General features: G+C 38.1%; 2 long non-coding RNA genes across 2 annotated transcripts in view; both read left to right on the plus strand.

Moving 5' to 3' along the window:
* The window catches only part of LINC03000 (long intergenic non-protein coding RNA 3000), a 765,030-nt gene that overhangs the window by 190,138 nt on the left and 558,402 nt on the right, over positions 1-16,490 (plus strand). The gene's annotated exons all lie outside the window — the stretch shown is intronic.
* LOC102546299 (uncharacterized) overlaps positions 1-16,490 on the plus strand; it is a 72,706-nt gene that overhangs the window by 16,564 nt on the left and 39,652 nt on the right. The window lies entirely within an intron of this gene.

The following is a 16,490-nucleotide window of genomic DNA, read 5'->3' on the forward strand; positions in this document are numbered from 1 at the left end:
CTGTATGGATGAACTTTGTCTATTTACAATTTTGTCTAAGGCCAAATCTGCAGTCTGGTCCCACCGCATGTTATCTAAGTTGTTCATATACCAATACTAAGAGCTACTGAAATTCTTCCAAAAAATCAAAATCATTTCCCCTTTGATTTGCTAGTTTTCCCTCTTGGTAAATAAAGATTCATTTTTTAGTAATAACTGACCTGCCCTAAGGGTTCACCACTTTCTTCTGATCTCAAATCTTGTGCTAGGTCTTTAGGTTACAATTCATGAAACTAAAAAATAAACAAAAAAATTCTCTTACTGTGGTTTCTGCTTTTCTCTTTTAAAGATATATTTTTAAGGTCTAATAATATTAACATGATGAGCTTAGCTAACTGTATAAGATTGATTCTAAAAATTGTACACTGAAATTATCTTTTAGACATCTAAGAAAGCTCAAGTTCTAATTTCTTCATTTAGTCATTTTATTAGTCCACTCTCATGCTGCTATAAAGAACTACCCGAGACTGGGTAATTTATAAAGGAAGAGATTTCATTCATTCACAGCTCTGTATGGCTGGGGAAGCCTCAGGAAACTTACAATCATAGTGGAAGGGGAAGCGGGAGCATCTTACATGGCAGTGTAGGGGTAGGAGAGAGAGAGAGAGATTGAGAGAGAAGCAAAGGGGAAAGAGTCCCTTATAAAACCGTTAGATCTCATGAGAATTCACTCACTGTCAGGAGAAGCATGCGGGAAACTGCTGCCAAGATTCAATCACCTCCTTTCCTCTACACACCAGGCATTACAGGTCCTTCACTCTACACATGAGGATTACGATTTGAGATGAGATATGAGTGGAGACACAGAGCCAAAACATATCAGTCATTAAATGTTTATCAAACACCTATATGACAGACTCTGAACTAGATACAAAGATTTTCAACATCTTATTTCCTGGTTTAGAAGTTCATGGCCAAACCATAAAGGACACAGATAAATAAGAAACTCTGAACCAATATAACACACACACACACACAAAAGAAAACTAACAGAAAAACATAAGGAAATTTATAATTTCTCACGAAATGAAGTCCAGGATAACAAGTTTAAATGCTGGTTGAATCAGCAGTTACAAGATATTGCTCATTAGAAGGCCAACAGACTTCAACACTCATGCTTGGAAATAAACTTGACTGATGGGATGAGACAACAATTCTCCTAGGTGAAAGGAAAAGTGATGGTTGAGAGACAGGTCACAGATTGTAGCCAAATGGTCACAAGCAGCCAAAGACTTTGGGCATGAGTCACTGGTTTTCACAGAAAAGATAGATATGACTCTTTAATTCAAAAAGCCTGTTAGGGGACCTCAGATAAGAGAGTGGACACTGTCCAAGAGATCATTCAGGCAGATTTTGTAGAGCAGAAAGAATACAGGACTGGGAAAAGACTCATTTAGGTACATTAATGTGTAAGGGGCAAATCAATAGGCGATGGACGTGAAGTAAAAGGCTATTATGAGACAACTGGAGGTATAAAAGGTAAATCAGGAAGAAACACTGCCCTTGAAGGTAGAGAGCAATGCTTCAAAAAGGAAGAGGTGCTCAGCATTGTTTAAAAAATCATTTAGATAGTAAGAAGATGTAAATAAGTAAATAAATAAACAAACAAACAAACAAACAAACCCCTGGATTTGTCAGAAGGCCATAGTTAAACTGTTTGAGAGGCCATAGGTCATAGCAGTGAGAGCAGGGCCTCTAGAGCTAGATTTCTTGAATTAAAATGCTGGCACCACTACTCGCTAACTGTGTGGCCTGAGGCAAATGATTTAATCTTTCTGTGTCTTGTGTTTAGCATCTATAAGAGACTCCAATTCAAAAAGAAAAAAAGGTATAACATAGTACTTACTTCAAAGGATTATTGTGAAAAATAAGACAATATTAAAGCTCTTAAGACACTGATCGAAGACTTAGCAAGTGGTTGTTAGGGTTGGATAATAGATACAGTACATATTTAATGTTGAATGATGGTAGCAGAAACCAATTGGCAGTGAGTTGAAAAGTGAGTAAGAGATACAGAATAGGAGAACAGAAAACAGTGGAGCTTCAGGAAGTTTTTCAGCGAAGGGTAAGGAAGCAAAGACAGCAGTCTGACAAGACAGAGGCTTACAAGAAGTATGAGCTTTTGTTGTTTGTTTTTGTTTATTAAGGATGACAAAGATTTGGTCATTAAAAAAAGATCCTAGCCTTCCACCGGCTCACGCCCAAACCCCTGCTCATGGAAGAGGCCCCTGCTAGAACATGGACCCTTCCATGCCAATGTGACTGAGTTGCCCACCTGGACAGAGGGCTAAGATCATTGTGGGCTGCCTGGGCATGTGAGTGGGGATGTCAGGCAACGCCAGAGTTCTAGGGGGAAGACATGGATTACCAAGAGCATAACCCAGAGATTCACACGCACATGAGCTGAAGCTTCAAGCCTCTGGGCACAAGTCCCATCCTCCCATTGAATTTCTATGAAATAGTTTCAAAGATAAAAGTGTTAAGAATCTCAAGGCAGCCACCACAGAGCATGGAACCCCAAATATTGGGCCTTTATGAATAGAGGGCCCTGTGCTACTGCTTTGGTGCCATGGCTGTGAAGCCTGCCTGCCCTGGCAGATAAGTATATTAATTGCCCTCCTCCCTTTCTCTATTGGTGCCATAAATAATGTGGCAACCAGCTCTACACTGAGCCAGGAGTACCACAGTGTGCTTAGTAGGGGGCCTCTCACTCACACCTGAACTGGGTACCAAGTGGGTCCTGTCATGGAGATTGCAAGACCTTGAAGGTTGCTTCTCATCCTTGGGTTGGGGCAATGGCTTCCTTGGAATGGGAGATTGATTTTCATGCCCCCCAGCCGGGGGCCCAGATTTTTATTTTGAACTAGGCTACGAAAATTCTGTAACTGGCCCCATGTTAAAGGCTGGGCAAGGGAAGTGAACTTTAGCTTTTCAAAACCATTGGAAAACCTCTGATGATGGAACAGAGGTGGCAAAGAAGCAAGCTCATATGTTCATGCCTAAGGCATGCAGGGGCATTTTGCCAGTGAGGTAGGGTTTTAATATTCTAGTCTTAGTCCATTCGTGCTGCTATGACAACATACCTGAGACTAGGTATCTGATAAAGAACAGAAATTTATTTCTCACAGTTCTGGAGCCTTGGAGTCCAAGATCAAGGTCCTGGCAGGTTTGACATCTGGTGAGAGCCCAAGTCTCCATTTCCATGATGGTGCTTTGCTGAGGCATCATCCAGAGGGGAGAAATGTTATATCCTCACAGGGCAGAAGAGATGAAAGAGGCGAAAACAGGACCAAACTCCCTCTGTTAAGCCCTTTTTAAATGGTCTTAATGCATTAATGAGGCCAGACCCCTCATGACCTGAGCATCTCACAAAGTCCCCAGCTCCCAACACTATTGCATTGGAGATTACAATTTGGTGGACACAATCAGACTATCACAATTCTTTTTTTTTTAATTTAAGTTTTAGGGTACATGTGCACAACGTGCAGGTTAGTCACATATGTATACATATGCCATGTTGGTGTGCTGCATCCATTAACTCGTCATTTAACATTAGGTATGTCTCCTAATGCTATCCTTCCCCCACTCCCAACCCCACAACAAGCCCTGGTGTGTGATGTTCCCCTTCCTGTGTCCATGTGTTCTCATTGTTCAATTCCCACCTATGAATGAGAACATCCAGTGTTTGTTTTTTTGTCCTTGTGATAGTTTGCTGAGAATGATGGTTTCCAGCTTCATCCATGTTCCTACAAAGGACATGAACTCATCATTTTTTATGGCTGCATAGTATTCCATGGTATATATGTGCCACATTTTCTTAATCCAGTCTATCATTGTTGGACATTTGGGTTGGTTCCAAGTCTTTGCTATTGTGAATAGTGCCACAATAAACATACGTGTGCATGTGTCTTTATAGCAGCATGATTTATAATCCTTTGGGTATATACCCAGTAATGGGATTGCTGGGTCAAATGGTATTTCTAGTTCTAGATCCCTGAGGAATTGCCACACTGACTTCCACAATGGTTGAACTAGTTTACAGTCCCACCAACAGTGTAAAAGTGTTCCTGTTTCTCCACATCCTCTCCGGCACCTGTTGTTTCCTGACTTTTTAATGATTGTCGTTCTAACTGGTGTGAGATGGTATCTCATTGTGGTTTTGATTTGCATTTCTCTGATGGCCAGTGATGATGAGCATTTTTTCATGTGTCTTTTGGCTGCATAAATGTCTTCTTTTGAGAAGTGTCTGTTCATATCCTTTGCCCACTTGTTGATGGGGTTGTTTGTTTTTTTTCTTGTAAATTTGTTTGAGTTCAGTGTAGATTCTGGATATTAGCCCTTTGTCAGATGAGTAGATTGCAAAAGTTCTGTGGGTTGCCTGTTCACTCTGATGGTAGTTTCTTTTGCTGTGCAGAAGCTCTTTAGTTGAATTAGATCCCATTTGGCAATTTTGTCTTTTGTTGCCATTGCTTTTGGTGTTTTAGACATGAAGTCCTTGCCCATGCCTATGTCCTGAATGGTGGTATTGCCTAGGTTTTCTTCTAGGGTTTTTATGGTTTTAGGTCTAATATTTAAGTCTTTAATCCATCTTGAATTAGTTTTTGTATAAGGTGTAAGGAAGGGATCCAGTTTCAGCTTTCTACGTATGGCTAGCCAGTTTTCCCAGCACCATTTATTAAATAGGGAATCCTTTCCCCATTGCTTGTTTTTGTCAGGTTTGTTAAAGATCAGAGGGTTGTAGATATGCAGCATTATTTCTGAGGGCTCTGTTCTGTTCTATTTGTCTATATCTCTGTTTTGGTACCAGTACCATGCTGTTTTGGTTACTGTAGCCTTGTAGTATAGTTTGAAGTCAGGTAGCGTGATGCCTCCAGCTTTGTTCTTTTGGCTTAGGATTGACTTGGCAATGCGGGCTCTTTTTTGGTTCCATATGAACTTTAAAGTAGTTTTTTCCAATTCTGTGAAGAAAGTCATTGGTAGGTTGATGGGGATGGCATTGAATCTATAAATGACCTTGGGCAGTATGGCCATTTTCACGATATTGATTCTTCCTACCCATGAGCCTGGAATGTTCTTCCATTTGTTTGTATCCTCTTTTATTTCGTTGAGCAGTGGTTTGTAGTTCTCCTTGAAGAGGTCCTTCACATCCTTGTAAGTTGGATTCCTAGGTATTTTATTCTCTTTGAAGCAATTGTGAATGGGAGTTCACTCATGATTTGGCTCTCTGTTTGTCTGTTATTGGTATATAAGAATGCTTGTGATTTTTGCACATTGATTTTGTATCCTGAGACTTTGCTGAAGTTGCTAATCAGCTTAAGGAGATTTTGGGCTGAGACAATGGGGTTTTCTAGATATACAATCATGTCATCTGCAAACAGGGACAATTTGACTTCCTCTTTTCCTAATTGAATACCCTTTATTTCTTTCTCCTGCCTGATTGCCCTGGCCAGAACTTCCAACACTCTGTTGAACAGGAGTGGTGAGAGAGGGCATCCCTGTCTTGTGCCCGTTTCCAAAGGGAATGCTTCCCATTTTTGCCCATTCAGTATGATATTAGCGGTGGGTTTGTCATAGATAGCTCTTATGATTTTGAGATACATCACATCAATACCTAATTTATTGAGAGTTTTTAGCATGAAGGGTTGTTGAATTTTGTCAAAGGCCTTTTCTGCATCTATGGAGATAGTCATATGGTTTTTGTCATTGGTTCTGTTTATATGCTGGATTACATTTATTGATTTTCATATGTTAAACCAGCCCTGCATCCCAGGGATGAAGCCCACTGGATCATGGTGGATAAGCTTTTTGATGTGCTGCTGGATTCGGTTTGCCAGTATTTTATTGAGGATTTTTGCATTGATGTTCATCAAAGGTATTGGTCTAAAATTCTCTTTTTTTGTTTTGTCTCTGCCAGGCTTTGGTATCAGGATGATGCTGGCCTCACAAAATGAGTTAGGGAGGATTCCCTCTTTTTCTATTGATTGGAATAGTTTCAGAAGGAATGGTACCAGCTCCTCCTTGTACCTCTGGTAGAATTCGGCTGTGAATCCATCTGGTCCTGGACTTTTTTTGGTTGGTAAGCTATTAATTATTGCCTCAATTTCGGAGCCTGTTATTGGTCTATTCAGAGATTCAACTTCTTCCTGGTTTGGCCTTGGGAGGGTGTATGTGTCGAGGAATTTATCCATTTCTTCTAGATTTTCTAGTTTATTTGCGTAGAGGTGTTTATAGTATTCTCTGATGGTAGTTTGTATTTCCGTGGGATCAGTAGTGATATCCCCTTTATCTTTTTTTGTTGCGTCTATTTGATTCTTCTCTCTTTTCTTCTTTATTAGTCTTGCTAGCGGTCTGTCAATTTTGTTGATCTTTTCAAAAAACCAGCTCCTGGATTCATGGATTTTTTGAAGGGTTTTTTGTGTCTCTATCTCCTTCAGTTCTGCTCTGATCTTAGTTATTTCTTGCCTTCTGCTAGCTTTTGAATGTGTTTGCTCTTGCTTCTCTAGTTCTTTTAATTGTGATGTTAGGGTGTCAATTTTAAATCTTTCCTGCTTTCTCTTGTGGGCATTTAGTGCTATAAATTTCCCTCTACACACTGCTTTGAATGTGTCCCCGAGATTCTGGTATGTTGTGTCTTTGTTCTCGTTGGTTTCAAAGAACATCTTTATTTCTGCCTTCATTTCGTGATGTACCCAGTAGTTATTCAGGAGCAGGTTGTTCCGTTTCCATGTAGTTCAGTGATTTTGAACAATTCTTTCACTTAAAAAAAAATGAAGACACAACAAATATGACATAATGAGACCAATCATGAATTACGGTTGGTGATAGGTGGAGTTTTGCTAAGTTAGTCTCTGTAGTTTTCAGTTTTCTTTTTATCTCTCAAAATGCTCAATTGAAAGAGTAATAGGACATGGAAGCATTTATTTAATAAATAATTTCAACTAAATCTCTTAGGAGCTTGCAGTGTATGTATTCATCATATTGACTTTTGGCTTTGCATGATATGGGCACGCCTCTACCTCATTGTTTTTTCCAGTGTCTTACCGTAGCTAATGCATTGCCAAAGAACCTTTCCAATGTATCAGCTTTCATTCACCCATTCATTCATTCCAGAAATTATTGAGTTTCTGTATATGCAGATATCATGAATAAAGAGATTTTTTTCAAAACCAAGATTATTGTTTCTAAATGCCTGAAAATATGTAAACTAATGCTTACAAAATAATATGATAGCAGCAGAAAATTCCAGTATGCCATGAAATTAGAGAGGAGTATTCCTAACCCACACGAGAGATTACCAAAATTGGTCCTGGAAAAGACAGTGATTAATGGAGCTCTTAGACTTCACAGGATGAAATAGCAAATAGTTGTGCATAGAGAAGAAGGAAGGACATTTCCAGTAGAAGGAACTATATGTGCAAAATTAAGTGGCGTGTTCAGAATGTTGCAAAATGTCTGGATTACAGGAAGGGTAAGTTCCATGCCGCAGAACAGTCGCAGGTAAGTTCAGAAAGGGAGGAAGGCAGCAGAATACGAGAGGCTTTATCTATCCTTCATGTATATATATAAAGACTTTATTTTTTAGAGCAGTTTAAGCTTCACAGCCAAACCAAGAGAAGGATATGGAAGATTTCCCATCTACCCCCTGTTCCACATATGCATAGCCTCCTTCACTATCAACATTCAACACCAGATTGATACATTTGTTACAACTGATGAACCTACATTGACACATCCTTATCACCCAAAGTCCGTAGCTTAAATAAGGGTTCCCTCTTGGTGTTGCACATTCTTTGGGTTTGGACAAATGTATTATGACATATACAAGTCATTATAATATTATACAGAGTATTTCACTGCCCTAAAAACCCTCTGTGCCGTCCTGAATATTTTCATAAGTCCTTTTCAATCTCCTTGGCACATAAAGCCTGTCATCACATGCTGGCAGAAAAATTATAAATGGAAATATTTTTCTGGGTAATATATAGGCGGATATAATGAATTCACCAAACAACATTCATGCACACTTTATTCACAAAATGGAGGAAGTCTTACTGGACCTTATATAAATCTAAAATTTTCCACAGTTTGAATAGGAAAGAATCAAAGTTACTCACCTCTATCTGGATTGGGTCAGCAATCTGGATGAAATACTTTTTATTAAACTTCTCCCATACCAGCCTATCTTCTCATGATGAAATGCTCCCTCAATTTGTTCTGAGTTACTGGGAAGGGCACTTCTCCCATACACAGAATGAATCTGGGAAATCAATCTTCAACGTATTTTGCCCTTGAGCTACCCACATAATGTGTATATATTTATAAAACAGTATTAGAGTTTTTCTTCAATTGTTTATACCCACGGGATACACCCAGTGTTATGGCGATCATACATATTCTTAATAATTTCCTGAATAATTGCCTTCTACTTTGATTGTTTGCAAATTTGGATTGTGCTGTTCAAATATCCTTGAAGCAAGGGGATAAGCTTATGTATCTTACAAACACACTTACACAAAAATATTTGAATATACAGATTCGTATCCATAGTGTCGATTCAAATTCAAGATATGCCAGAGTGAGAGCTTGTTTTGAGAATTAGAAGCTGTGATTATCAAACATAGCATACACAACTTTTAAAAGAAACAATCACTTGATCCTTAAGCAGTAACTACTTCTATTTGTCCAAATATGATAGGATGGTTTTTAGCTCTCAAAACATACTCTTTGAAAGAAAGGAAACAAATTTCTGTAATGATCTTAAGGAAGCATATTTGTGAGAACAATTGCTTTGTCTTCTCAACACACTATTACTGAAAACCTAAAAAAGCTTGATTCTGTCTCTCCTAATAGTCCTTTTAGACATATACTTTACCAAATAGCAGTAGCTTCAAATGCTGTCTTCAGGACTGTCAAAAGAAAAAAAGATAGCATTAAGCGTTTATGCATAAAAATGATGGTGTATGTTTCTTTCGTTCTTAAAAATAAATTTGGCTGGGCACGGTGGCTCACGCCTTTAATCCCAGCACTTTGAGAGGCCGAAGTCAGCAGATCATGAGGTCAAGAGATCAAGATCATCCTGGCCAATATGTTGAAACCCTGTCTCTGCTAAAAATACAAAAATTAGCTGAGCATGGTGGCGCATGCCTATAGTCCCAGCTACTCGGGAGGCTGAGGCAGGAGAATCCCTGAACTTGGGAGTCAGAGGTTGCAGTGAGCCAAGATTGTGCCATTGCACTCCAGCCTAGTAACAGAGCGAGACTACGTCTTAAAAAAAAAAAAAAAAGTTAAATTCTTTGGCAGTTCTGCTTGCTATACCATGCAGAAACATAACTCTTTGGTCCCATGTCACTGGCCAAAGTAAACCACAGTCCATTCAGCCACCAACAGAGTAGGGAAGCACAAATCTACCATGTGCTGTAATGACAACTCGAATCCCCTTTTAGATTAACTGTGAGTCCAATAAGGGGAAAATAACTGTTAGGTATTATGAGCACATACATCCCTATTAAGTAGAAGTGGCTTAATATTTAGGGAAAAATTTGCTACCTATTCTTATAAGAATTACAAAGTTCCTCATAGATGAATAAGGCTAAAATTCAGATTTATAATTCCAAGGGAATCGTAAATGAACTGAGGCTAAATACCCAGTTCCTTTCCTCTATTTTCCAGGAATTCAGGAAACTTAGGAAGGACAAGATGCCACAGCACATCAGTTTGATAATAAGGCTTGGAGAGATGTGATTTTCAAAGCTTGAACCTATCAAACTGATTCTAGTGTTTGCCACCTCCAGTCTCACATATAATTTTTCAACCAGGACAGGATGACAAAAAAACACAGAAATGTGTCTGAGGTGTTAATATAGAATGCAGGTTCAGATTGCAGGTGGGCTTTGTTTTAGAAGCAATGAGATTGCCACACACAGAAAGACATTTAAAACATTACCTTAAGCTAAACAAACACCACATTTTCAAGGTGCCTCATCATTAACCTTGGAATGTTGATATGCCCAGGGACAGAAAACAACACAATGACAGGCTATAGAAAAGGCAAAGAATATTTGTAGAGGATGGTGTGTGTGTGTGTGTGTGTGTGTGTGTGTGTGTGTGTGTGTGTGTCATGGAGAGGGAGAGGAAGACAAGAGACAGAGAATAGCATGACAAAATGGAAATGCATGTTTAATCTCAGATTTTCTATAGCATATGGCGTTCTTAGTAATACGATTTGAATGGGTAGGAAGATGCATTTTCATATCACTTTATACTAATTATCCAAATCAAAGAACAGAGGTAGGTGGACATAATGGGGGAGATATAGCCGCCCACTTAGTCCCCACCTAAACACCAACACTGGTGGTGATTCTATAGTTTCTATTTCCTATCCCAAACAGCAAGGTTGTTATTGTTATGGTAGTCCAGATATTGCTCCAGTTTTGTTCTAAAATGCTCAACATCTGGGTCTTTTTAATTTCAAGAGTATTTTGCATTATTTAGAGGTCGTAAAGTAGCTGAGTGCTATCTTTTCACATGAAAACTAGTAGCATGTTTGTTCCCACATGCAATATCGCCAGCAGGTCAGGCAAGTCAAATACCATTGCAGTCTGACCGTGCTGTCCTGCTGTATATTACATCAACAATTTGTATATAACAAAAACAGATTTCCTAGCCTTGGCTGATAGCCCATTTACTCCAAGTAATAGTTGATAAAACACAATTGAAAGACAGCAAGAGAATTTGGACAGTCCCTTGGAGTTTGCTAAAATGGATTTGGCCTGTGGCTCTGCTCCTGATAGCCAGCTGTCTTTTCACTACTACATTTCTTCTTCGTAAATGTTATTTATAGCTTTAAAATGTTTTCAAGGATAAAGTGGTAGCACACACAAGGCATTTTCTGTGCTTTGCCGATGATGGAAGCACTCAGAGAAATAACTGTTGTAGTAAGATAATCACTTTTTCATCCTTATGGAAGCCCATTGTGAATGAGTGAGCTGCCACTTCTTCCTGGCTATTAAACATTGCTGACAATGCCTTTTCCTACTATTCTTTTAAAGAGGACCTCAAATTAAACCTATTACACCTTAGATCCCAATTACATGGAAATCCACAACCTTTCCGAAATGTGTCTAAGCGCTAACATAAAGACCCACTCCATTCAATATTCCTACTAACTGGTTTAGGGTCTTGACCTTGCCTAGTAAGAAGATTATAGAAATGCCTGAAGGACAATTTTGGGTATAAAACCAAATGTCCCCCTGTGCATTACAATCGCCCAAAAAAAAAAAAAAAACTTTCATCTTTTTATTAATTGTATAATTAATGCATTCTGTGTACTGATAAGAATAATGCCATGTAATTAATTTTTAAGAATTAAAAACTTGCCTTTATCCAGACTCATGGTCTACTTTCATGTTTATAGCTATGAATATAAATCCTCTTATCTAATTATAACATGACTGGTTTCATTGTTGAAACAAAGTGGTTCTTTGTCATTTTTTATTTGATTATGTAATATTTATTTTATTATATTAATTATAATCTTTCCAGAAAAAAAAATAAGACCCTAGGACTTAAAATTTTAAGTCTTCCAAAGCTTATCAGAAAAATGCCATGCTGCTTTGGATAAGGTATGATATGTCATTTGTTTTCTGTGTCTGTTTTTGTCTTCCATGATTACCCATTCTGTTTACCAAAAGGCTCAATTAGCATTTGAATAGTGAGCCAGAGAGCAGACAGGTTGAGAATTCTTATAGAACTAATTTGGCAGTCCTTCTCATTTTCCCCCTTCTCCCTTCATAGGCTTTTCTTTGCCTCTAATCAAGCTGCAGTTATTAAAGCTAGAATAAAAGACCTGATTTTCCATTACATTGATGCATGCTGAACAGAGCCTTGATTTGCTTTTTCTTTCAGCAATGCTAATTGGACTCAAAGGAAATATTTAGTTTATAATAGCAAATGAAGAATTCATTTAATTTTAAGGAAAGGGAAAATCAGCAATGGAACTAGCCTACACACACACACACACACACACACACAGACACACACACACACACACACACGCGTATATATGTTTTTCCCAACTGTTTCTTTCCTTTAAGAGTATTTATCTTAATGCTTCTCACACATAACAGAGTTATTTAATTACCAATGCTAAAAACCTTAGGCTGGAGAAGTTTACAGCTGACAGAAAAATTTCTAATCCTTGCTTGGAAGAAAAAAAAAAGTAATATATTGGGAAATCTCACTTCAAATATACCTGATCAATATATAAGAAAGAATTAATGTAAGCACAACTGTTTTCAAGTACTATTTGCACTTCAGATCATTGGATATCTTCCAGACTAAGTTTTCCTCACCAATCACTATTTTTATCAGATAATGGGCTGGTATTTTTCCCTGGACCATGCTGTTGAATTAGAATGAGTGCAGGACTTTACACATGAAGCATGGTTAATATTAACATTCAAATGTCATATCATGTGCTGGTACTCATCACCAGAAAGACTTTAAAGCTTCATGCTGAGGAGGGAGTTCTTTATTTAAAAGTGGTAATCAACAAATTTTAACAGAGTTGCAGCTCAAAAGAAAAAAAGGAAATTGTCAAAGGAGTGGAGGAAAATTTTGATATGCCAACTTATATATAATGTGCTATTATATCCTACATGAAGATTCAAAGCAATTTCCTTCAGAGAAATGTTTTTCCCTATGTCAATGGTGCAAACCTTTCAGGAGTATTGAAGCATTATAAAGGTGTTTTTATTTGCATTTGATGCCTCCTTTCTAACTCCTTGCCAACTATTTAAAAGGGGCAATAGAAGGTTTTATTTGAACATTTATGATTTAAAATTCATCCACTTTTTGAAATGAAGCATTTCACTCACTCCAGTCATATCAAAGTGCTTTTATTTCCGAGAAAGCATCATGGTCTTGACTCTGGGCCTTTGAATGCACTCTTCTATGCTCTTGGAATCCTTCCTTTCTGCGCTATGCTTGGCTTCCTTCTATTCAGTCTTCAAGACTCTGCTTAAATATTACTTCCTCTACAAGTCTTCCCTGATTCCTTCTGCCAAATTCCATTAAAATATCACACAATATCATCCCTACTATATATAACTATAGGTTCCTTAACACATGCAGTCTAGTGCTTCCTCTACTCTGTGGTTACACTTTTACTTGTAGAATCTCTAGCTACAGCCCCTGGGAACTGGTTGGAGCCTGTCTTACTCATCCTTGTACTATCAAGTATGTGTAGAATAAATTGATTTGCAGCAACCTAATTCAAGACCTAGTCCAATTAGAAAAGGTCAAAAATAGAGGAAGAGAACTTTTACTCCATGTATTGATTTACTTTAAAAAACGATTCAGGTTTTGATAATTCATAAGGTAAAATCATCTTAGGATTTTAAATCATATATTTGGCAAATGACAGTTAAAAAAATTAGTTGCCATTATTTATTATGTATCTAATATTGGCATATATTTTAATCCTTAGATCTCTCTTCTTTTTATATATAGTTGCTGGAAATGATCTTAATCACATTAATAACCCCCATGTTAGTAACTCCAATCTAGACCTTTCTTCTGAACCCCAGATTCCTTTTCCCAGCTGCCTATGTACATATTTAACATGGCCCAACTCTTCCTTACAAAAAACTGGTCCCCTTCCCATGTCCCTTTTTCAGTCAATACTGCTCATATCCAGTCCTATGGATTTCACCCTCAACATGTTTTCTGGTCCAAACTACTCACTTGACCTACTCCAGCGGCCCCTCAAATTGGTTTACTTAAGTTTATTTTTGCCCTGCTCCAACTCAATTGCAACAAGAATGAACTCTCCACTGCCAAATCTGAGCATTTTATCTTGTCGCTTAAGAAGCTTTAGTGCCATCCTATTGTTCTTAGGTTAAAAATAAAAGTTTGAGACCAGCCTGGCCAACATAGTGAAACCCTGTCTCTACTAAAAATATAAAAAATTAGCTGGGCGTGGTGGCAGGTACCTGTAATCCCAGCTACTTGGGAGGCTCAGGCAGGAGAATCGCTTGAAGCTGGGTGGCAGAGGTTGCAGTGAGCCGAGATCGTGCCACTGCACTCTAGCCCAGGGAACAGTGCAAGACTCCATCTCAAATAAAATAAAATACAATAAAAAATAAATAAAACTCATTAAATAATAAATAAATTAATTATAATAATTAAATAATAAATAAAACTCATTAAATAAATAAATAAAACTCACCTGCATGACTCCACGCATGAGGCTCTTCTCTACCTCTTGAGCCTCATGTTATACCACACTCCCATTGTTTTTCCCTCTCTAGTTATACTTTTAAAAGTCCTTCTCATGTGCCATAAGTTCTCTTTTGCCTATGCATTCTGTTCCACCCATAGCAGGATTCCTTCACCCTCTTATCCTGGTTAATTCTTTTTGTCTTTCAAGTTTATTGTCAATTTTTACTTTCTTAAGGAAACTTAGTCTGCTATTTCTGGGTAGGTCAATATGACTCCTAGAACACAATTAATTCTCTTGTGCTATTCCTTGTCATGCCCAGAGTGCTACATTTGCATGATTATTTTATTAACTGTTTCCTTGACTAAGTGTGGCTCCACAAGAGCAAGGCCCAGGTCCAGAACAGTATTGGCACGTAGTAATCATACGATCCATGTTTGTAGAAGGAAAAATAAATACATGAATATATGCCAAGTACTGTGCTAAGAGTTTTAGCTGTTCAATAAATATTTGTCAAATAAATGAGCTGTTCAGTAAGCTGGGTGTTTGGTGACATGGAAAACAAGTAGGTATTGGACATTTTTTTTCTGTCTTAGAAAATCTATTAGCATAATTTCTACGCAACTATTCTGGATAAATCATTATTATGATGATGCCTGAAAAACACTCAATATTATCATTGTATGAAATAAAAGCAGACATTTGTGTGCCCTTCAAAAGTATGAATGCATTTCTGTTGGAAGAAAGAGACTAGTACTTGAAGAAGTGAATGAAAAGAGGATAAGTAAATTAATATTTATTGTGTCCCCTTTTCTGCCCTTTGCCCCCACACATACTCTGATAATTCCGAAGACATCATTATGAATTCGGTTTTGTAAATAAAGAAACAAATTCCCAAAAGGAGTAAATAGCCTACATTGCACCACCAATGTGTGGTAATGCTAGAATGCCACTAATAACACTCAGTCTCCATACAACTTTTCTTTCTGTCACACACAGGTACAATTTGAACTGTACAATGCTAATGCAGTTATCCAAACAAAATCATTTGATCGTTAGCGGTCAAATGTGTCAGCCAGTTTGTAAGTCAGCTTATTGGTGTAGCCACTTTTTTAGTTCTGTTTCAACTCCATTAATAAATAGTATAGGCCAGGTGCAGTGGCTCACCCTGTTATCCCAGCACTTTGGGAAGCCGAGGCGGGTGGATCACCTGAGGTCAAGAGTTTGAGACCAGCCTGACCAACATGGTAAAGCCCCATCTCTACTAAAACTACAAAAACTAGCTAGGCTTGGGGTGGGGGTTGCCTGTAATCCCAGCTACTCAGGAGGCTGAGGCAGGAGAATTACTTAAACCCGAGAGGTGGAGGTTGCAGTGAGCCGAGATCGCACCATTGCATTTCAGCCTGGGCAACAAGAGCGAAACTCTGTCTCAAAAAAAATAAAATAAAATAAAATAAAATAATAAATAAACAGTATGTAAGCCCTTGCTGGGAGCATATTTGTATTTATTTTCCTAAGTACTTACTTTCTCATGTTTTACATCTTTAAGATCATCACAATTTTACTAATTTGCCTCTCTTTATTGTTTCAATTAAAACCAGTAAAAATAATCTTCATTTACCTTTACTTTTGCCTATAATGGGTTGAACAGTGTCCCCCCAAAATTCATGTCCAGTTAGAGCCTCAGAATATGACCTTTTTTTGGAAATAAGGTCTCTGCAGATGTCGTTAGTTAAGGATTGAGATGATATCATCATGGATTTCAGGTGGGCCTTAAAACCAGTGATTGGTGTCTATATAAAAAGAGGAGAAGGACATCGTGACATAGAAAAGAGGGTGATGTGACGATGGGGTCAGAGATTGGAGCAGTGCACCTAAAAGCCAATGAATGACAAGGATCACCAGCTACCAATACAAGCTAGAGAGTAGCAAGGAAGGATTCCTCCCTAGAGCGTTTGGCAGAACATGGTTCTGCTGACTACAACTTGGTTTTGGACCTCTAACCCACAAACTACGAGAAAATAAATGTCTGTTATTTCAAGCCACTCAGTTTGTTAGTAATGGGTTACGGCAGCCCTCGCAAACTAATACAGTGTCCTGAATTATAATAAATCATTTCAGTTTAGAGGGAGTTTGCTTGACAGATGCCTTTTAGATACAATTGTCCTGTGGGCTGTCACCCCTGCTACCATTTCCAAAGGATACTGGGAGTCCACTCATGAATAATGTCTTA

The sequence above is a fragment of the Homo sapiens genome, chromosome 5 (genome assembly GCF_000001405.40).
Source record: "Homo sapiens chromosome 5, GRCh38.p14 Primary Assembly".
Taxonomy (NCBI): Eukaryota; Metazoa; Chordata; class Mammalia; order Primates; family Hominidae; genus Homo; species Homo sapiens.